Source organism: Homo sapiens, chromosome 3, assembly GCF_000001405.40.
Source record: "Homo sapiens chromosome 3, GRCh38.p14 Primary Assembly".
Lineage (NCBI taxonomy): Eukaryota > Metazoa > Chordata > Mammalia > Primates > Hominidae > Homo > Homo sapiens.
Window position 1 is genome coordinate 150,808,116 of NC_000003.12, and position 22,736 is coordinate 150,830,851.

Genomic DNA, 22,736 nt, shown 5'->3' on the forward strand with positions numbered 1-22,736 from the left:
GTGAGGCCCTGTTTGTGACCCCACAGAAGCAAACCAATTACATTCTCATCTTTGTCAAGATGCAGCATCTCATGACAATTCATAATCTTTAGAGTATATTCTTGGACCATTCCTACTTGACATCCAAATCCAGCCCTGTCTCTGTCTAGACCTCCTCTCCTCCATTTCATCCTTCCACATCCCTGTTGACTTCAGATAGCTTTAGTCATCTTCTGGTTACTTTTTTTTCTGGCCTCAGATATACCTTCCACTGTGCAGATGCTGTGTCTTGCCCTCTGGATTGAGGTTCTTCAGGATGGTTGCTGCTGTTTACTATTTTTCCTTGACCACAACTCTCTTAGGAGTGGTGACCCCAGTAGAGAGTTTCCAGATCTAGCCTTGTCCTAGCCCCTGGACCTAGGATGTGGGGAGCAGCTGCTCCCCACACTTCCTCATACCGCCCCCCACCCAGGAACTAGAGCTACTTATGATTTGCCATTTAATCATAACAGAACATACATTGTTGGACATCAAGAGACAAAGACAGGCCAAAGGGTTTTGCATATCAAATGTAGTATCTCAAGAATATTCAGATATTACCAGCCCCATTTCCATTCCCTGCTTGAAGATGAGACTTAATTGTCTGAAGGGGGTGAGGCCTTGAAGGCTGGTTTTGCTCCCTTGGTGATTTGGGCAGACAACCAAGGAGTCATTTATACCTTTATAGCTGAGCCTCTGCAGACCCGACTGGCTACCCTTTCAGAAAATGGAGGTGGTACTCTAGTGCTTTTTGTCTTCCCCAGGAGAGCTTTCAGACTTTTGGTAAATTTGCTTACACTCACGACCCGTGAAGAAATGAACTCTTGGTTCATAGTGATTTTTATTTTACTTTATTTGGGAAGGAAAGCCCTCCCCTAACCTTCCAGCAAGGATTTGCATATATTATTTATTTTCCCTCAGCACAGATACGCAGACATTTTACAGGGGAGTATCCAAGCCTTACTTGGTATTCCTTAAGCAAAAGGATCACAATTGTACTGGTTTCCCCCATTCCTGAAAGAAGGAAGATCATGTCATGGAAAGGGCTGGTCAGTCCAACTCCAGGTGGAGATTTTCTGGAGGATCCCCCCAGCAGCATCTGCTCCCAGTGTTCTGTTCAATACTCTTGGGTCTTCCAAAGGATGTCAACAAATGGGCAAAGTCCTGAGGATTTTCCTGATACACTCGCGTGGAAAAACCAGACTAAGATAGATCAGGTTTCATCCTGAGAAGAGCTTTAGTGAATTTATACCGTTCATGGGGCACCGTTCTGTAATAGCTTAATCCTATGTGGAAAATGATACTCTTGGTCTTATGACCAAGGACTTTTTTTTTCATAGCAACTTAGGTTATTATAGATTTATAATGACAAAAGCAATAATATGCTTTCCTTCCTACACAGAGACAAGGCAGCGAGCCCCCATCAGACAGTTGTGAATTGTCATTATCAGGTAGATAATCTGTTTACACTACTTGGTCTACCCCATTTTCACCTCTAGATTTCACGAAACGTATTTAGGGGGTGCAATGTGTGGAATGTTTTTGTGCAAAGTTACTGTGGTCCATTTGGAGAGAGGGCCTGACTCTTTTGATCCATGTGCTACTCTGCTGCCAGATTGAGCACTCTAAGGGAGAAATCTATCTGACTCATGTCAGCCTCCTGCTTAAATTTTTTTTTGGAGTTTCCCTTAGGCTTTAGGATGAAATCCCAAAATCTTTGATTTGCTCATAGACTATCCCTTCCAGCCTACTTACTCTCTGATAACTCTTCAGATTGCCCTCTGGGTTCTAGTCATACCTACTTTTTTTTTTTTAAGTTAACATTTATTGAGCATGTTTGGTACCATTTGATAACATTGAGCATTCACCCTTTCCCTTTAAGAACCCAGCTTGGTATTTGCACTGCTAGCTTCTTCTCACATACAGTTGGGCCAGGACTGAGTTATGTAGCTACATCTGGCTGCACAGGAGCCTGGGAAATGTATTCTGGGAGGCTGTGTGTCCAGATGAAAACTTTTAATACTACTGTAGTAATATAGAAGAAGGGAAATGAATATTTGGGCGTAATTTTCATTCTTTCACAGTGAATGAGAATTTTAAAATCACTATAGAGTCTATTTTATATTTATACTGGGTTAAGTAAAATCAACATATGGAGTGTTAAATATTTAGTTTATTAAATAGTGATTTATTTTACAGACTCTAAAATCTTTACATTAAGAAGTATCCAGGCTGGCCAACACAGTGAAACCCCGTCTCTACTAAAAATACAAAAATTAGCCCGGCATAGTGGTGCGTGCCTGTAATCCCAGCTACTCAGGAGGCTGAGGCAGGAGAATCGCTTGATCCTGGGAGGTGGAGGTTGCAGTGAGCTGAGATTGCGCCATTGTACTCCAGCCTGAGTGGCAGAGTGAGACTCCATCTCAAAAAAAAAAAAAAAATGTGGATGGAATAATCTGTCATTGTATGTATTATTGAATCAGTTTGGTGGAACAATAGGAGAATGGTTTGTCAGAGAAGGGTTTCTGGAAGAGGAGGCATCTGACCTGATTTTTGAAGCATGTGTAGGAATAAGTCGGCAAAGATGAGCAAAGGCATGTCAGAGCATTTTAATTTCTTCAACTAAAGAAAGAAAGGAGCAGAATTTCAGTCAGGGGTTCTTCTACTGTGCAGAAATTCCTGTGGAGTAGGACAACAAAAAGATGAAAGGACTGAGGGAAGAGCTCTGGTGTCAGGATGGTTCTGCAGTGTTCAGTGGGCAAATGGACAGGATGACTCCAATGAGGTCTAACCCCTCTGGAGTCTGCACTACCCAGCATGCCCTGGATTTGGATGCCATCTTGATTTCATAAAACCTAAGCTTTTTCTCTCCAATGGACACATCTCCTATTTTATAGTGAATATGAGAAAGGAGGAGTTGTTTTGCAGCAACTTTTCTGATACTCATCTATTCTGTGATACAAGGGAAATCTGTTTAGACTTTATGGGGAATTCTTGATTTTAATTTCAAGATTCTTCTACAGATGCATATGATCTATTAGTGTATAAGTTTATTTTAAATCAAAATGGAAAATAAAAAATGCTTTTTGAAAATAGTCTAATTGTTTTCAAATAATGTTAAGCTCAATTGATTTTTCCTGTCAAGTTCTTGTCTATTGAATGACTCCTTTTATAACTGTCGGAAAAAATGCAATGTGCTGAAGGAAAGAAAGAATTTCATAATTATATAGGTCATAAAATAAAATTTTCCATTCCCAAGAGACTCCTGGATGAGCATATTTACATCTAGAAATCAAAGGTCAGAAAGTTTCATTAAATATATTCCTAAATATTTTTAAATTATAACAAAGGGAATTTGGTTAGAATTCTTCTGTCCTGCAGTATCTGACAGGTAGAGAGTATGGGTAGGGAAAACCCTGTGCTGTTCACTGCGTTAAAATGCCTTATGAATTTTAACTTCTCTTTCTAGAGAGTGCAAAATAAGTGGGTGGAGGTGAGGGAGGGGAGCAGTATGTACAATCTTGAGATGGAAAACCAGTTGAGCCCAGTTAGAAAGCTGTCGTCTTATAAACAGTTGTAGCAAACATATGCTCTGTATTTTCATGGTCAGTTTTTATTTCACAGTATGTTTTTCAATAAAGATCACACATGTGGGCTGGGCACAGTGGCTCACACCTGTAATCCTAGCACTTTGGGAGGCCGAGGCGGACAGATCACCTGAGGTCAGGAGTTCGAGATCAGCCTGGCCAGCATGGTGAAATCCCGTCCCTACTAAAAATACAAAAATTAGCTGGATGTGGTAGTGCGTACCTGTAGTAGTCCCAGCTACTTGGGAGGCTGAGGAAGGAGAATTGTTTGAGCCCAGGAGGCGGAGATTGCAGTGAGCCGATATTGTGCCACTGTACTCCAGCCTGGGCAACAAAGCCAGGCTCTGTCTCAAAAACAAACAAACAAACAAAAAACAACACACATGCAGGTTTGTTCTTAACCTTCCACTCCATGGTACACTCCAGGATTATGACACTCCCACCAGTCACATAGCTCGCTGTGGTGGTAAAACTGGATTTGGGGCTATAGAGAGGTAGCTGACTCAAGTCTGGCTGTTTACCACTCAGAAGTCAAAGCACAAGAAGCGAGGTGTGGTGAAAAGAAAGCAGCTTTTATTCAAATGCTAGCAGACGGGAGAATGATTGGGTACCAGCCTCAAAGGAATCATCTCTGCTGTTTGGACTGAATGAAGGAAAACTTGGTATGAGAAACATGGATGAGTGATGCAGGAGGGTACAGGTCTGTGTGCCTTTTCCTGATGGTCATCTTGAGGAATTGCCCATCTGGAGGTCTGGTTGGCTCATCTTGACTTTGGCCTGGTGGTGGTGAATTCATTGTTCATAACTCCCCTAAGCGGGAGGATTCTGCAGTCAAGTCTCTGTCTGATTTGCTTTAAAATTAGCCCCTAGAATTTCTAAGCAAGCACATAATTAGATAAGCAAGCACTGTACACAGGAGTGCCTGGTGGGAAAGGAGGGAAGCGAAGAGTTTTAAAGTACATTTCAAGGCTGTACTTCGAGATTAGGAAGGAAAGGGAAAAAACCTTAACATGTAATTTGAGGCTTAGATACTTGGTTACAGCTCCCCACTGTGAAATTATATTCCGTTTTTATGGAAAGTGGGAGATGTCAATTTGACTACTTCCTACTGAAAAGGGGGCACAGCTAGGGGGCAACAGAAGAAAACCTGTCCACTTGTAATTGAAAACTTTTCTGAGTCTCTGACCTTGAAAAATTTTTGAAAACTTCTGAAAAATACAGAAGATATTTATTGGAGTGTGAGTGGTGAGTGTGTAATAGCAATAGAGTCCACAGTAGAAGAATAAACTTATTTTTAAAATCATGGCTGAAATTATGAGCAACTTCTTTTACTAGGAGGGGCCTGATCTGAATTATGAGGAGAACCCTTGATTTAAGGACATGACAGGATTAGACATAGCACTAGTTTGCTTGTGCACGTCTTGTAGGGCTGAGGGTGTATTTCCAGAGTTGTGCAGGAAGTATACACAGCATTTAGTCTTAATTACGGTGGACAGTTCCCATTGTCAGTTGTACCTGGAGTTCCTGTGGGGATATGACAACAGGTTGGCTAAATATACATATTTAACAGGTTATAGGAGGGGCTATGAATATTCATAAAGTTGGTCTTGACACATGTGTATTAAATATGTATGTAACATATGACCCATGTTTATTTTGGGATGGAGACTTAAAATATAAATGTACTATAATTAGACCCTGTATGTACAAAAATACACGTTGAGTGTGCAATTTCTGTATACCAGCCAACATTTGTCCATGGTCAGTGACCTTTTTATCAGGAGAAATGTACTGAAATCAGACTCTTGTCTAATTAAAGCTGTAGTTATGCCTGGTGAACAGGGAGTAGGGGTCAGTCAGCTTATCTTGAATCCAGTACTCATTTGGCTGCTCGTGAAAAAGAAACACCTTGTGGCAGCTAGAACATAACTTTTGAAGTGTAGGAGTGCGCGACTTCACTGTTGCCTGGCATGGTCCTGGGTCCTGTTTATAATTTGGTATCTTATTGTTACAAAGAGTCTGTTTTGTCAGTTTTATGATCTATATTTTAACGTTAATGTTGGTCAGTTGCATCTGAATTCCAAAGTGGGGAGGGTATAATGAGGTGTGTCCAGCCCCCTGCTTTCTGTAAAAACCTAAATTAGTTTTTCAGGTTTTTGGGGGGGATCTCCTTTGGCCAAGAAGGGGTTCCATTTAGTATGTTGGAGGGCTTAGAACTTCTTGTTTGTTTGTATTTCCCCTTTTATTTGGTCAAGATATGCCAGAGGCAGTATAGATGGCCAGTCTTTTATTTTGTCCCATATTGATGCCAGGGTGGTCATCATGGCATCATCAGCAGGGTGGACCTGCTGTTCATCATGTCCCTTGGTGGGACTCCTATGGCCAAGGGACTTAGAGTCAAAAGACATAGCCAATTAAACATTTTGGGCAAGATGGGAATGGACACAGGCAGGCACATACTAACCCTTAAGACCTCTTTTAAGCAACATAAGAGCCAAAGACAAAAGATAAAAAACAAGGTTATAAAATTGGCTTATCTATAAATTTTATGCAGTGAGCTACCATAATCTTTGCTTGTAGCAATCAGTTATATAAAACACAAGCATTTTGTTTAGCTGTTTAGGCATCTGTGTGTCCATCCTTGATTTGGAAGGTCTGAATTAATTGTGTTCCTCAAAACCCAGTCCTTACAATCTCATATGCCCATGTCTTCTGTAATAGTCCCTGGGCCTAGAGGGATTGAATAGTTTCAAATTCTGGAGGTAAAACAAAACATAAAGAATTAGCAACATTTGGCCAGGTGCGGTGGCTCACGGCTATAATCCCAGCACTTCGGGAGGCTGAGGCAGGCAGATCACAAGGTCAGGAGATCGAGACCATCCTGGCTAACATGGTGAAACCTCGTCTGTACTAAAAATACAAAAAATTACCTGGGCGTGGTGGCGGGCGCCTGTAGTCCCAGCTACTCGGGAGGCTGAGGCAGGAGAATGGCGTGAACCCGGGAGGCGGAGCTTGCAGTGAGCTGAGATCGCGCCACTGCACTCCAGCCTGGGCGACAGAGCGAGACTCTGTCTCAAAAAAAAAAAAGAATTGGCAACATTTCAAACAAAAAGGTCATAAGCCTTGCTTAGTTCTGAGAATGACAGGAAAGGAAGCTCACAGGTAGCTAAACAAATAAATTATTTAGTATCAAGGTATAGAATACATTCTACTAATTTAGACAGAGGCAAAATTATTAAATAAATATTAATGTTTTTGAATATAGGTCTGTCCCTGTGTCTCATGAAAGCAGCTTACTTTGTCACCTTTGCCTGAGTCTAAAGATGAGGCTTTGGTTAACTTGAGTTTGATGTCAGATATTGGCAAGAATATCGTGCCTTCTTTAGATGAGATATTTGTACTCAGAAGTCAAAAACCCTGTAACTTATCAGCACAAGGATTAGTTAATAGTACCGGATAACAACCTTTTCAAGGGGCTGTAGATGGGGACACTGGAGTCCATGACCTGACTAGAAGCTTTAAAAACATTTTACAACCTTTCACTGATTAATTTTATTTTTCTTTTTGAGGCAGGGTCTTGCTCTGTCACCCAGGCTGGAGTGCAGTAATGCAATCGTGGTTCACCACAGCCTTGACCTCTGGGACTCAAGCCGTCCTTCTGCCTCAGCCTCTCAGATAGCTAGGACTATAGGCACAGGCCACCACACCCAGCTAATTTTTGTACTTTGTTTTTGTAGAGACAGGATCTCACTTTGTTGCCCAGGATGGTCTCAAAATCCTGGGCTCAAGTGATCCTCCTTCCTTGGCCTCCCAAAGTGCTGGGAATACAGGAGTAAGCCACCATGCCTGGCCAGTGGTGATTAATTTTTATAGCTTTGATAAATCCCAGCAATAAGTCAGAGATTTAAGATGTGATTTTGAGGGCATTTGTCAAAGATGTTAAAGGATGCAAAACATTTGATCAAAACAGAACCGTAGGTCATTGTGAAACAATAGTTACTCATTTAACCAAAGTGATTATCAAAAGACTTTAAAGGAAATATAGGTTATATGGATGTAAAAACCTTAAGCCTTTTAAATCTGTTTTTCTAAGCAATAAAAAACCTAATAAAGACAACATAGGAATTATCTTAATTAAATATAAAATGTTGTTTCTTAAGCTAGTTACCAAAAAGGCAAAGAAAAACCTTTTGCGGTGTGACTGCTTTTTCTTATGAGAAGCCCACTGAGATTACCTGGAAGCCAAACTTGATGAAAAAAGTGCTTGAATTTAATCAGACACAGGAAGTGTGTATTCAAAGTTATGAGTATAGCAGGGAAATACATGACTCTTTTTTTTTTAAATTTTATTATTATTATACTTTAAGTTTTAGGGTACATGTGCACAACGTGCAGGTTTGTTACATATGTATACATGTGCCATGTTGGTGTGCTGCACCCATTAACTCGTCATTTAGCATTAGGTATATCTCCTAATGCTATCCTTCCCCCCTCCCCCCACCCCACAACAGTCCCCAGTGTGTGATGTTCCCCTTCCTGTGTCCATGTGTTCTCATCGTTCAATTCCCACCTATGAGTGAGAACATGCGGTGTTTGGTTTTTTTGTCCTTGCGATAGTTTGCTGAGAATGATGGTTTCCAGCTTCATCCATGTCCCTACAAAGGACATGAACTCATCATTTTTTATGGCTGCATAGTATTCCATGGTGTATATGTGCCACATTTTCTTAATCCAGTCTATCATTGTTGGACATTTGGGTTGGTTCCAAGTCTTTGCTATTGTGAATAGTACCGCTATAAACATATGTATGCATGTGTCTTTATAGCAGCATGATTTATAATCCTTTGGGTATATACCCAGTAATGGGATGGCTGGGTCAAATGGTATTTCTAGTTCTAGATCTCTGAGGAATCGCCACACTGACTTCTACAATGGTTGAACTAGTTTACAGTCCCACCAACAGTGTAAAAGTGTTCCTATTTCTCCACATCCTCTCCAGCACCTGTTGTTTCCTGACTTTTTAATGATTGTCATTCTAACTGGTGTGAGATGCTATCTCATTATGGTTTTAATTTGCATTTCTCTGATGGCCAGTAATGATGAGCATTTCTTCATGTGTTTTTTGGCTGCATAAATGTCTTCTTTTGAGAAGTGTCTGTTCATATCCTTTGCCCACTTTTTGATGGGGTTGTTTGTTTTTCTTGTAAATTTGTTTGAGTTCACTGTAGATTCTGGATATTAGCCCTTTGTCAGATGAGTAGATTGCAAAAATTTTTTCCCATTCTGTAGGTTGCCTGTTCATTCTGATGGTAGTTTCTTTTGCTGTGCAGAAGCTCTTTAGTTTAATTAGACCCCATTTGTCAATTTTGGCTTTTGTTGCCATTGCTTTTGGTGTTTTAGACATGAAGTCCTTGCCCATGCCTATGTCCTGAATGGTATTGCCTAGGTTTTCTTCTAGGGTTTTTATGGTTTTAGGTGTAACATGTAAGTCTTTAATCCATCTTGAATTAATTTTTGTATAAGGTGTAAGGAAGTGATCCAGTTTCAGCTTTCTACATATGGCTAGCCAGTGTTCCCAGCACCATTTATTAAATAGGGAATCCTTTCCCCATTGCTTGTTTTTGTCAGGTTTGTCAAAGATCAGATAGTTGTAGATACATGGCATTATTTCTGAGGGCTCTGTTCTGTTCCATTGATCTATATCTCTGTTTTGGTACCAGTATCATGCTGTTTTGGTTACTGTAGCCTTGTAGTATAGTTTGAAGTCAGGTAGCATGATGCCTCCAGCTTTATTCTTTTGGCTTAGGATTGACCTGGTGATGAGGGCTCTTTTTTGATTCCGTATGAACTTTAAAGTAGTTTTTTTCCAATTCTGTGAAGAAAGTCATTGGTAGCTTAATGGGGATGGCATTGAACCTATAAATTCCCTTGGGCAGTATGGCCATTTTCACGATATTGTTTCTTCCTACCCATGAGCATGGAATGTTCTTCCATTTGTTTGTATCCTCTTTTATTTCATTGAGCAGTGGTTTGTAGTTCTCCTTGAAGAGGTCCTTCACGTCCCTTATAAGTTGGATTCCTAGGTATTTTATTCTCTTTGACGCAATTGTGAATGGGCGTTCACTCATGATTTGGCTCTCTGTTTGTCTGTTATTGGTGTATAAGAATACTTGTGATTTTTGCACATTGATTTTGTATCCTGAGACTTTGCTGAAGTTGCCTATCAGCTTAAGGAGATTTTGGGCTGAGACGATGGGGTTTTCTAGATATACAATCGTGTCATCTGCAAACAGGGACAATTTGACTTCCTCTTTTCCTAATTGAATACCCTTTATTTCCTTCTCCTGCCTGATTGCCCTGGCCAGAACTTCCAACACTGTGTTGAATAGGAGTGGTGAGAGAGGGCATCCCTGTCTTGTGCCAGTTTTCAAAGGGAATGCAGGAAGCAAGAAATCTTGAATTGTTTTTCAGATGTTAGGATTTTATAGATAAAACCATGCCATGATTTTTAGAAATGTTTCCCCATATCATAATCCTTTCTTAATTGTAAATATCTCAGACATCCAATGTGCATTTACTATTCAATTTAAAACAACTAAATTTTTAATTGCACAAAAAGTTCACCTACAAGCATTTATCCCATTTACATGTATTCAACCCTTTCATTTTTAATAGTTTACTTCTGAAAACTGAAATATTACACAAAGCTAGTCATAATTTAAAGTTATTTCCTTATTAACCATTTTTTAAAGTCTGCAAACATCAGGTGTTCACCTAAGTAAGAACCTTAAGCACACGAATGTTTTGCCGATAACTTAGAATATTTAGCTGTTTTTATTGAACCAACAACATTAAATTAGTCTTTGTTTAAAAAAGTTACACAAAGATTACTCTGTTTTTGTCTAGGTTTATAGTTTCACAACCTTTGTGTCAAACCCTGACACCTTAAAATATCCAACAGGCATATATAAAACTTTCCTACCTAAACAAAAATGAATGCTGATGATTCTGAAGATATTTTTATTTTTATTTTACCAGTGACTTTAAAGCCAGTTTATTTATTAAAGATTGATAAATTCATGTGAACTTGAAATGCATTTTGACTTAATTTATGAGTATTTATTTATTATGAGCCATTTGACAGCATGCAAGACACAACACAAAACATAATACATGTACATCACATAAATATATCTAAACATGAATACATATCCACAAAGATCCAATAGTTTCACCTTAGAATTCTAGCTGTAAGATAGCAATATAAACTTAAGATTTTATATAAGATCACTGGATAAGAATTATTTTTCTGTCAAAATTGAAATCTGTTTACATGGCTAAATTTTGTTTGCCCTATTGGGTAATGTAAGGAAAGCTGTAGACCAAAATTTGGGTAGAGCATCTTTAGGACAGTTTGGTATTTTTTTTTTTTTTTTTTTTTTCCACTGGGTACAAATATCCATAGAAATTTTATTGTAAGTAAATACTTCAACATTTTAATATCGGTTGCCTTTGGAAGATGGATTATTGATTACCTTTTCTTGCTCTTTCTAATTTTTTGAATTTTCTAAAGTTTCAACCACAATAATAGTATTTATTGAATATTATTGAATACTTACTGCTCTATGTATTTATGGGTGTATAAATACATTTCATCTTTTTTTTTTTTTTTAATTTTTTTATTTTTATTTTTTTTTTTTTATTGATCATTCTTGGGTGTTTCTCGCAGAGGGGGATTTGGCAGGGTCATAGGACAATAGTGGAGGGAAGGTCAGCAGATAAACAAGTGAACAAAGGTCTCTGGTTTTCCTAGGCAGAGGACCCTGCGGCCTTCCGCAGTGTTTGTGTCCCTGGGTACTTAAGATTAGGGAGTGGTGATGACTCTTAACGAGCATGCTGCCTTCAAGCATCTGTTTAACAAAGCACATCTTGCACCGCCCTTAATCCATTTAACCCTGAGTGGACACAGCACATGTTTCAGAGAGCACAGGGTTGGGGATAAGGTCACAGATCAACAGGATCCCAAGGCAGAAGAATTTTTCTTAGTACAGAACAAAATGAAAAGTCTCCCATGTCTACTTCTATCCACACAGACCCGGCAACCATCTGATTTCTCAATTTTTTCCCCACCCTTCCCGCCTTTCTATTCCACAAAACCGCCATTGTCATCATGGCCCATCCCCAATGAGCCGCTGGGCACACCTCCCAGACGGGGTCGTGGCCGGGCAGAGGGGCTCCTCACTTCCCAGTAGGGGCGGCCGGGCAGAAGCGCCCCTCACCTCCCGGATGGGGCGGCTGGCCGGGCGGGGGGCTGACCCCCCCACCATCCTCCCGGACGGGGCGGCTGGCCAGGCAGAGGGGCTCCTCACTTCCCAGTAGGGGCGGCCGGGCAGAGGCGCCCCTCACCTCCCGGACGGGGCGGCTGGCCGGGCGGGGGGCTGACCCCCCCACCTCCCTCCCGGACAGGGCGGCTGGCCGACCCCCCCCCCCGCCTCCCTCCCGGACGGGGCGGCTGGCCGGGCAGAGGGGCTCCTCACTTCCCAGTAGGGGCGGCCGGGCAGAGGCGCCCCTCACCTCCCGGACGGGGCGGCTGGCCAGGCGGGGGGCTGATCCCCCCACCTCCCTCCCGGACGGGGCGGCTGGTCGGGCGGGGGGCTGACCCCCCCCACCTCCCTCCCGGACGGGGCGGCTGGCCGGGCGGGGGCTGACCCCCCCACCTCCCTCCCGGACGGGGCGGCTGGCCAGGCGGGGGGCTGACCCCCCCACCTCCCTCCCGGACGGGGCGGCTGGCCGGGCAGAGGGGCTCCTCACTTCCCAGTAGGGGCGGCCGGGCAGAGGCGCCCCTCACCTCCCAGACGGGGCGGCTGGCCAAGCGGGGGGCTGATCCCCCCACCTCCCTCCCGGACGGGGCGGCTGGCCGGGCGGGGGGCTGACCCCCCCCACCTCCCTCCCGGACGGGGCGGCTGGCCAGGTGGGGGGCTGACCCCCCACCTCCCTCCCGGATGGGGCGGCTGGCCAGGCGGGGGGCTGATCCCCCCACCTCCCTCCCGGACGGGGCGGCTGGCCGGGCGGGGGGCTGATCCCCCCACCTCCCTCCCGGACGGGGCGGCTGGCCGGGCAGGGGGCTGACCCCCCCTCCCCCCTCCCGGACGGGGCGGCTGGCCGGGCAGAGGGGCTCCTCACTTCCCAGTAGGGGCGGCCGGGCAGAGGAGCCCCTCACCTCCCGGACGGGGCGGCTGGCCGGGCGGGGGGCTGACCCCCCCCCACCTCCCTCCCGGACGGGGTGGCTGCCGGGCGGAGACGCTCCTCACTTCCCAGACGGGGTGGCTGCCGGACGGAGGGGCTCCTCACTTCTCAGACGGGGCGGTTGCCAGGCAGAGGGTTTCCTCACTTCTCAGACGGGGCGGCCGGGCAGAGACGCTCCTCACCTCCCAGACAGGGTTGCGGCCAGCAGAGGCGCTCCTCACATCCCAGACAGGGCGGCGGGGCAGAGGTGCTCCCCACATCTCAGACGATGGGCGGCCGGGCAGAGACGCTCCTCACTTCCTAGATGGGATGGCGGCGGGGAAGAGGCGCTCCTCGCTTCCTAGATGGGATGGCGGCCGGGCAGAGACGCTCCTCACTTTCCAGACCGGGCAGCCAGGCAGAGAGGCTCCTCATATCCCAGACGATGGGTGGCCAAGCAGAGACGCTCCTCACTTCCCAGACGGGGTGGCGGCTGGGCAGAGGCTGCAATCTCGGCACTTTGGGGGGCCAAGGCAGGCGGCTGGGAGGTGGAGGCTGTAGCGAGCCGAGATCACGCCACTGCACTCCAGCCTGGGCACCACTGAGCACTGAGTGAACGAGACTCCGTCCGCAATCCCGGCACCCCGGGAGGCCGAGGCTGGCGGATCACTCGCGGCTAGGAGCTGGAGACCAGCCCGGCCAACACAGCAAAACCCCGTCTCCACCAAAAAAAAAACGAAAACCAGTCAGGCGTGGCGGCGTGCGCCTGCAATCGCAGGCACTCAGCAGGCTGAGGCAGGAGAATCAGGCAGGGAGGCTGCAGTGAGCCGAGATGGCAGCAGCACCGTCCAGCCTTGGCTCGGCATCAGAGGGAGACCGTGGACGGAGAGGGAGAGGGAGAGGGAGAGGGAGAGGGAGAGGGAGAGGGAGAGGGAGAGGGAGAGGGAGAGGGAGAGGGAGAGGGAGAGGGAGAGGGAGAGGGAGAGGGAGAGGGAGAGGGAGAGGGAGAGGGAGAGGGAGAGGGAGAGGGAGAGGGAGAGGGAGAGGGAGAGGGAGAGGGAGAGGGAGAGGGAGAGGGAGAGGGAGAGGGAGAGGGAGAGGGAGAGGGAGAGGGAGAGGGAGAGGGAGAGGGGAGAGGGAGAGGGAGAGGGAGAGGGAGAGGGAGAGGGAGAGGGAGAGGGAGAGGGAGAGGGAGAGGGAGAGGGAGAGGGAGAGGGAGAGGGAGAGGGAGAGGGAGAGGGAGAGGGAGAGGGAGAGGGAGAGGGAGAGGGAGAGGGAGAGGGAGAGGGAGAGGGAGAGGGAGAGGGAGAGGGAGCAGTTTGGTATTTTTTTTAAAAAGCCTTTTTTAATGCATTTTTAATAGTTTTTTTCTTTTGTAGCTTGACACCATCCATGCCACATCAGTGATTTTTTGTTTTGTTTTTGTTTTGTTTTGTTTTGTTTTAGATGGGGTCTCACTCTGTCTCTTAGATGGGGTCTCACTCTGTCTCATAGGCTGGAGTGCAGTGGGGTGTTCATGGCTCACTGTAGCCTCAACCTCCTGGGCTCAAGAGATCCTCCCACCTCAGCCCCCTAAGTAGCTGGGACCAAAGGCATGCACCACCACTCTGCTAATTTTTTTATTTTGTAGTGATGGGGTCTCCTTATGTTGTCCAGGCTGGTCTTGAACTCTTGGGCTCAAGCGATCCTCCCACCCTGGCCTTTTCTTTTCAGTTTTAAAGAAATTTCAAATGTTTACATTTCAGTTAGACAATAAATAATGAGTCTTATCTCAGCACCAGCAGTTTAGTAACAGCAGATTCAAAGCAGGCAGAAAAGAAAAGAAAGAGCTTCAGAAGATTCTGCTTAACTTTATAGTTGCAGGTTAAATGAGCTGTGAATTTGAGCTCTGAACTTTTCTTGCTGTAATTTGCCCATCAGTTTAAAATGTACACAAAAACAGCCTATAATATGTAACCAGCTGGAGTCCCATATAGTCTAGAAAAGAGTTCACATGCGCTTTCCCCCTACAAAGCTTAACCCAGATACAGAGAGTACTCTGGAATCCCAAAGAGGATAACAAAATCAGGGCCAGGGTGTTGGAAAGTGTTTCTTCCTTAGTGAGGAGAGAAGCAGCCTACCTTGCTCCTTCTGACAATCAGATGAACCTGGTGCTATGAAGACCATCCCAGAGCACCCTCAGAGGGAGGGGTAACACTAAACAGAGACACAAACAGACGGATCCAAGGCAGATGGAGCACTCTGAACTGGTCCCTGAAAGGGGAAACTGGATAAAATCCTGAAGTCTTGTCTGAAACCCAGAAGGCACCGCAAAAGGATCTCCTGTACTAGGTCCAGATGGCACAAAGGCCCATATGGCACCACAGTTGACCTGTGCTAGGTCCAGATGGCACAAAGTCCCAAAAGGAAGAGACAGAGGAGCCCCATTCACACTCCAGTCGACTTACCTAGTCCAAGTGCCTCGGCTTCCCAAATGCCACTTTCCTTGCACCAGCAAAGCATTGTGGGCAGTTGATGCTGTGATGGGGATGGGAGGGAAATCCTAGGGGCAGAAGTGTCCTTGGCATCTGCTGGGAGGTCCCTGAAGTCCCCAGCCATGGAGTCAGCTAGCTGTGAATTGCTGGCACTTTTGAGCAGCTGTTGCCTCCTCCAGTAGAAACCAGGCGGACAGTCTAGGCTACATGAAACACACAGCTCCTCACATGGGGCACCAAATTTGTAATTGACTCAAGTTCAGTTGCTCACCACTTGGAAGTCAAAGCAGGAGAAGTGAGGTGTGGTAAAAGGAAAGCAGCATTTATTCAAATGTTAGCAGATGGGAGTATGGCTGGGCTTGAGCCTCAAAGGAACTATCTCAACTTTTGGACTGAGGGAAGTGGTTTAAGAAGGAAAACTTGGTATGGAAAATGTGCGGGAGTGGTGCAGGAGGGTACAGGTCTATGTGTCTTTTTCTAATGGTTGAGTAATCACCCATATGGAGGTCCAGTGGGCATCATCTTGATTTGGGCCTGGTGAGGTGGTGGACTAATTGTAACTTCTCCTAAGCAGGAGGATTCCACAGCTGAATCTCTGCATCTGCTTTGTTTCAAAATTAGCTCCTGGAATTTCTAAGCAAGCACATAATTAGAGAAGCAAGCACTGTGCATGGGAATGCCTGGTGGGAAAGGGAAGGAAACAAAGAGTTTTAAACTATATTTCAGGCCATATTCTGAGATTAGGAAGGAAAGGTGGGGAAAACCCCTTTAAAATGCATTTCAAGGCTGGGGTACAAGATTACAGAGAGACTGTAATCCCAGCACTTTGGGAGGCCGAGGCGGGCGGATCACGAGGTCAGGAGATCGAGACCATCCCGGCTAAAACGGTGAAACCCCGTCTCTACTAAAAATACAAAAAAATTAGCCGGGCGTAGTGGCGGGCGCCTGTAGTCCCAGCTACTTGGGAGGCTGAGGCAGGAGAATGGCGTGAACCCGGGAGGCGGAGCTTGCAGTGAGCCGAGATCCCGCCACTGCACTCCAGCCTGGGTGACAGAGCGAGACTCCGTCTCAGAAAAAAAAAAAAAAAAAAAAGATTACAGAGAGACATACTCTTTGAGGCATCTTTCGGAATTTCTATGGGATACACATATAGTGGATACGGTTTCAGGTGATTTTAAAAATAGAATTCCATATGTCTCTCCAAACCCAACTGAAGATTACTACACATTTATAATTTATTTATAGTAAAGAATGATTATAAAAGAGTGTAATTTTTGTTTAAAAAATCAAATCACACCAAATAAAAACCCAGAATATACATGTGTAGAAAGGCTTATAGAGCTTTGGTAATCAGCTTGGTTTTTCTGGGTCCTGGGATTGTAGGAGTTTTACTTCTTTCCCTCTCTCCTTTCCTTCCCTCCCTCCCTTCCCTTTTATTTTATTTTTTTTCTAGTTTTCCTTAGACTAAAAAATGAATTGTTTGTCTAATTTAAAAATTAATACATGCTTAAATACTCTCACATTTTTTTTTGTAAGAAATCCAATGTTCCTGATATTTCTTTCTTTACTCCATATACGCATTTGTTAGTCTTCAAACAGTTTGCTGGTAAACTGGTCACGGTAGCTCACACCTGTAATCCCAGCACTTTGGGAGGCTGAGAAGCAGGAGGATCACTTGAGCTTAGGAGTTTGAGAACAGTATTTCCAACATAGTGAAGCCCCATCTCTACTGAAAATACAAAAATTAGCTGGTCATGGTGGCACATGCCTGTAATCCCGGCTGCTCAGGAGGCTGAGGCATGAGACTTGCTTGAACCCAGGAGGTGGGGCTGCAGTGAGCCAAGATTGTGCCACTGCACTCCAGCCTAGATGACAGAGCAAGACTCTGTCTCAGAAAACAAAATAAAACAAAACAAAGAACACCTGATGTCAGGTCCAGGGCCATGATTCTGCCAAATGTCACACTCAGGGTTAAGGTCCAGCCCATGCTGAGGTCCAAGGGAAGTGGGTGGATGGGCAGATAGCTGAAAGAACATTCAGAGGGCCATAGGCAGGTGAGATGTAGTTTTATTCAGCAGCTCTCTCATCAGCAGCTTACTCACACTGTCCATCTTTATCTTGGCTGTCTGCTCTGGCTATGTGGCTCCTCTCAGCAGCCTGCTCCCATGCATGGCTGCATAGCTGGCCTGCAAGGCCAACTCTCCCTTACAGTGTTAGCAGCTTAACTCTTTCCCTCTAGGCACAAGCCAGTTCCTGGCTTCCCCCTGCCTGCCTTCAAGATAACCAGCTCTCCCTTACATACAGCTCTGCAGCAATACTGTGAAAGTCCATCGCCACCCTTCCACGAAGGCAAGCTGTTCCTGGCTCTCGGTAGACTGTCCCAGTTCCGTTGTCAAGTGGTCTGGCAAGTCCGTGACAGATGATACAGCTGCCAAACTGTGCAAAACATCCACCCCCCCCCTCAGAATGTTTTCAAGCATGGGAGAGGCATACATAATGCACAAGTGGAGAGCCAAACGACTGATGCCAAGATACAGAGACACAGGTTTTAGTTTCACTGACCAGCTTTCATAGCTATCTATGCAGCCTTGCCTGAAAACTTACCCAGGTGCAGGGACTGGTGGATTGCCAAGTCCACATGTGGCTCTGGTCGTCCGGTGACCCTAGAAGCTGGGCATCTTGGTCAGTCTCTTATCAAACAGAAAAGGCTTTACACTTCTCTCTGACTGCAGCTGGCAATCTGTGAACTGGAACACTCGAGCAGGACTGGATTGAGCAGTAATGTCCTTCTCCCGAATGACTTGCGCTAAGTCTGTATGTGACTGCCAACATTACTTGCTTGACTCCCGCAACTTAGAGGGGACAGAGGCACCATAGGAAATGTGTTCCACTGTGATAGGGGGTCCCTGCATTCACCCTTGGGGCCCAACAGCTGTTCATGCTCTGTTTTCTGGTGGATCACTGGGTAAACCTGCAGCAAAGGTTCTTTCTCCTTCCTGCACTGTGTCCCGCAAGGACTGGACATGCACTTCCCACAGCACAGTCATGAATGCCCATCTGACTCTGCCAGCAAAGGCATGCTTTTCCTCAGTGCTGTGCACTTCCAGGTGCTTCAGTGCCTTCTCCACACTCATGGGAGACCCGTCCACTTCCTCCTACGTTTCCACTGGGGCCCATCCAAGCAGCACCACTGCCGCTGGGTGCCACAGCCCATGCTGCGGCCACAAAGCTGACCCGGGAGCCTTTGCGGGCTGAAGACCCATTCACCTCATCCTGCCAACTATGCCAATTGTCAGGTCCAGGGCCATGACTACACCAAATGTCATACTCAGCATAGGGTCTAGGTCTGAGGTCTGAGGGAAGTGGGTGGATGGGCAGATAGCTGAAAGAAGCCTTGTGGGGCCGTAGGCAGGTGAAATGTAGTTTTATTCAGCAGCTCTTTCATCAGCAGCTTACCCACACTGTCTATCTTTATCTTGGTTGTCTGCTCCAGCTCTGCGGCTCCTCTCAGCAGCTGGCTCCCATGCACAGCTGCACGGTTGGCCTGCAAGGCCAACTCTCCCTTACAGTGTTAGCAGCTTAACTCATTCCCTCTGGGCACAAGCCGGTTCCTGGCTTCCCCCTGCCTGCCTTCAAGGCAACTGGCTCTCCCTTAGTGGTCAGTAGCATTACTCTCTCTCTCTGGACACCAGCGGTGTGCCATGTTGAGCCATGCTGAACGCTGGCTCCCCTCTGTTTGTCTGCAAGATGGATAGCTCTGGTTCTCTCCATCTTTCTCTGGGTACCAGTGTGCCCTTACAGCTTCAGCAGGGCAGTTATACCTTCTACAGACAATAGTGGCTCAGAGCCAAGTATGAACTTAAACAGGTTATATAACAAGTGGAGGTGTGTGCCTGCACACCATTCCCACTGAGTCACTGTGGCCTGGATGTCCGCCTCAGCCTATTCCTTGACTAAAGCACATCTATGTACCTTACACCTGTCTGGTGAGTTTAAGTGTAATATTACATCACCTGGAGTGTTTTCTCCCATCTTCACTCTATAAAACCATATACTCTTCCTTTTTAATAAATGTTGCTCAAAAGACTTTCTAAAGAAATCTTTCCAGATGAATCACACGTGCTGTATTTTTGTGTGTGTGTGTGTGTGTGCTTTCCTGATATAATTGGTGTCATTTCACTTTGTTTCATGTGTCTATACTATTTTCTGTGCACTTTCTGATCTCAGAAACTGGATAGTTGTAAATTTTCTGAGGTCAAGAACCACAGCTCCTCTTTCCTTGGTTTCTGACTCTTCTTGCCATTATGATGCCCAAAATTTATAATGACCAGTGGATAAATCTGATTGGAAAAGAGCCAGCCTGGTAAATTTTTGAGAGGTGGGATCATTTCACACACCTGCCGTGGTTTAGATTTGCTTTGAGGGTGAAACATGAACTCTAAGCTGAATTTTAAAAATGAATCCAGCCAGTAAGATCACAGAATCCTAACAAGCACATCTTGGTTAGACTCACCTTGAACCCTTTCAATGTGGATGATTTTTTAATATGGTCATTACGTATTAAGTGACCATTGAGGCAAATCTGAGCCTAAATTGGTATTTCTATATGGAAACAGGATGTGGATATTTGACTTGCCACAAATTTCTTATTTTTGTACCCTCCTTCCTAAAGTGCTGACTGCCTTCATGTGGCTTGGAATTAAACCACCAACTCCCTGGACATTGCTTCACACAATGGGTCCCAACCATGGATCGGACATATTTCTTCATAATGACAAAGAATTCACTCTCCACCAATCCTTACACTTCTCTACTAATCTTATTTGCCATTTACATCTGTGACTTTTTCATACTTCTCTAGCAGACACCTTTTATGTCTATTTCAGCTCCTGTCTCCGGTTGCAGGGGCTGCAGTGGTGACTGGCTATGCATGGGCTGGAACCAACCTCACCATCAGACAGCACCTAGCTTCCTGCCTGTGCCTCAGACCTCTTGCCTTCTGTCCTGGGGCTTCCCTGTTGATGTTGAGACACAGGAAGCTGGGGAGCCCCACTTAGTGCCCACATACATGCCCAGAAGTACAGGGCAAGCAACACCCAGAGTGGGTCTTATAGACAGGAGCTGATGGGGAAGTTCCTTCTCTTCTGGATGAATTGTCCTGAGGCAGATTGTAAATGGCTTACAGCCATTTACAATGACTGTAGAGGAGTATCCTAAGGTGGAGCTGTCAGGTGCACTCCCCCTGACTGCTGGGGTATTAGGTTACAGAGAGACATACCCCTTGAGGCATATTTCTGAATTTCTGTGGGACACCCATGTAGTTGATACAGTTTCAGGTGTACCCTGCCACTGCCTCTCTCTCCTTCCTCACTTCACTCCACTGTTCACTTCTTCTCCACAGAGTTGCTCTCCCTATTAAAGGAGAAATACATAAGTCTTTGCCTCTCAGATTCCACTTTCTGTATCATATCCTGTTTCCTCAAATCCCATTTCCTATCCATCAGCAACAGAAATCCATTCTCCTCTGAGTTATTACTGTGAAAAAGGAGAGGTGGACAATAGCCATCCACAAGAGTACATTTTCCCGCCTTTCTCTGAAGGAGGTTTTAACTTCTGCAGAGACTTAGAGGTACAGGACATTTTCAGAAAGCCATTCAACCACAGATTTCAATTTAGATTTCACTGATCCTATGCTAGCATGTAGAGAGAATTATTAAAGTCTGCAGTTCAGTAGTTCCTGCTCTTGCCTCTGTCACAAAGGAGCTAGTCATTGGCATGGGGGAGTGGGACAGAGAGGCGGAGCCACAGGTGTCAGACATTCCTCATGGCTTTCAGGAGTTGGAGACATGGCTCCCTAGAGTCAACTTGATGTTAGGAGAAATGTCCTCCTCCCCCACCTCATTCCCACAAAAAATTCCCCTTCAGAAGCCAAACAAGAAAAATCAGCACAAAAGTCACCTTCACTGAAAAATCCCAACTTTGAATAATAGTCAGGGGAAATGTTCTCTATACCTGTTGACCAATCTTGTTTTTGCTTTTTACGTTTTAAATTGTAAAAGCACAACGTTAAAGAAATTTGAGAAACAGATAAAAGATCAGCTACAGTCACACTCACCTGATGCAGTTCCAGGGACTTGCTGGAAGCAGCTGGGGTCGGTGACCTTCATGTGCTGTCTGCATCTGTCTGAGGATCTTGTCTGTGATTGTGTTTCTCTTCCCCATTCTACTGAACCTGGTGACATTCAAGCTATCACCTTCCTGAGCCCCGGGGTCTGTGCACAGCAGAACCCCAGACCTGCCATTCTCTAGTGAGCCTTGAGTGGAACAGGCCCTGGACACAGGCAAGAGAATGGTCTGGATTCAAGGGCAGGGTCCACTCGCCCTAACGGGGAAAACCTCTGGCTCTGGGAGCAACCCCCTTCCTGCCATTGGGAGGAACTTGAATGTTTTTGATATTTTATATATATGCTTAGGCTTTACTTTTTAAAAATTACTGTAGCAAATAATCATAAATAAGAAACTCATCCATAATACCACCATCCAGTGATAAGCATTCTTAATACTTGAATATAGTTTTTTCCATATATACATATAAAATGTTCTCTGTGTATCATGTAATTACTCGAGTAACCAAAACTCCCTTGTTAGCAATAACCCCAGTCTTTCCCTCTTGAATTATGTTCTACAAGATGCCCCTCACCTCCTATATTTGTTGAAAAACTCCAGGGGCTTACTTGAATTAGAGTGGTTTGGTCCTGCTTTTATATGCCAAGCCGGAGCAGCACCAGAACTAGGGTTGTTCCTTTACTATCCATTGCTTGTTGTTGCATCTCAGTGTTGCTCTTGAAGACCACTCTGCTATGGAACGCATGACTTTGGTGCCCTCTGAAGTATTACAGAGGTGCTTCATGCTTCGGCTTCGAGTTTACAGTCATAGATTCCCAAAACATGAAATGACTGAGGCATGGCACAGCAGGGACATCTGTAGCCCCTCGCAAATCCTCAAGGACTTAGTGTTGTCTGTGCCAGAGCAAGACCTTAGAGTAATTTTATGTTGTGACCTCGCTGTGAGTTGAACCAGCTCCAGAACACCACTGCCTCAAGTGGCCAGATGTGACAGAGGTCTGCTCTGAGGGGACCTTAGGTCTTTGCCTACAAGGGAAATGCTGAAAGCATTTTCTAAGTAAGTAAATAAACTACACCACACTATGTACTTAAAAACTGGATCATACTGAACAGTATATTTTCTAAATGTTAGTAATATAAAGCTTCTGATATCAAGATTTTGTAGTTATCAAACACCTTTGAAAGCTGAATTGATTCTTTTGTGTTTAAATATTAGGTAAACAAAAACCAAAAGTACTGTGCCCATCACTTACAGCACCTCCTTCCCAACCCCATCATCTCTGCCCTTCCTTCCCTCCCTCCATTT

General features: G+C 45.3%; 1 annotated feature.

Annotated features, from left to right (window-relative positions):
* Positions 13,247 to 13,921: an enhancer, noted in NCBI's record as "H3K27ac hESC enhancer chr3:150539149-150539823 (GRCh37/hg19 assembly coordinates)". NCBI's record gives its function as "activates a minimal SCP1, AML or CMV promoter by ChIP-STARR-seq in naive H9 embryonic stem cells {active_cell/tissue: H9 hESC(naive)}" and the evidence as "EXISTENCE:reporter gene assay evidence [ECO:0000049][PMID:30033119]".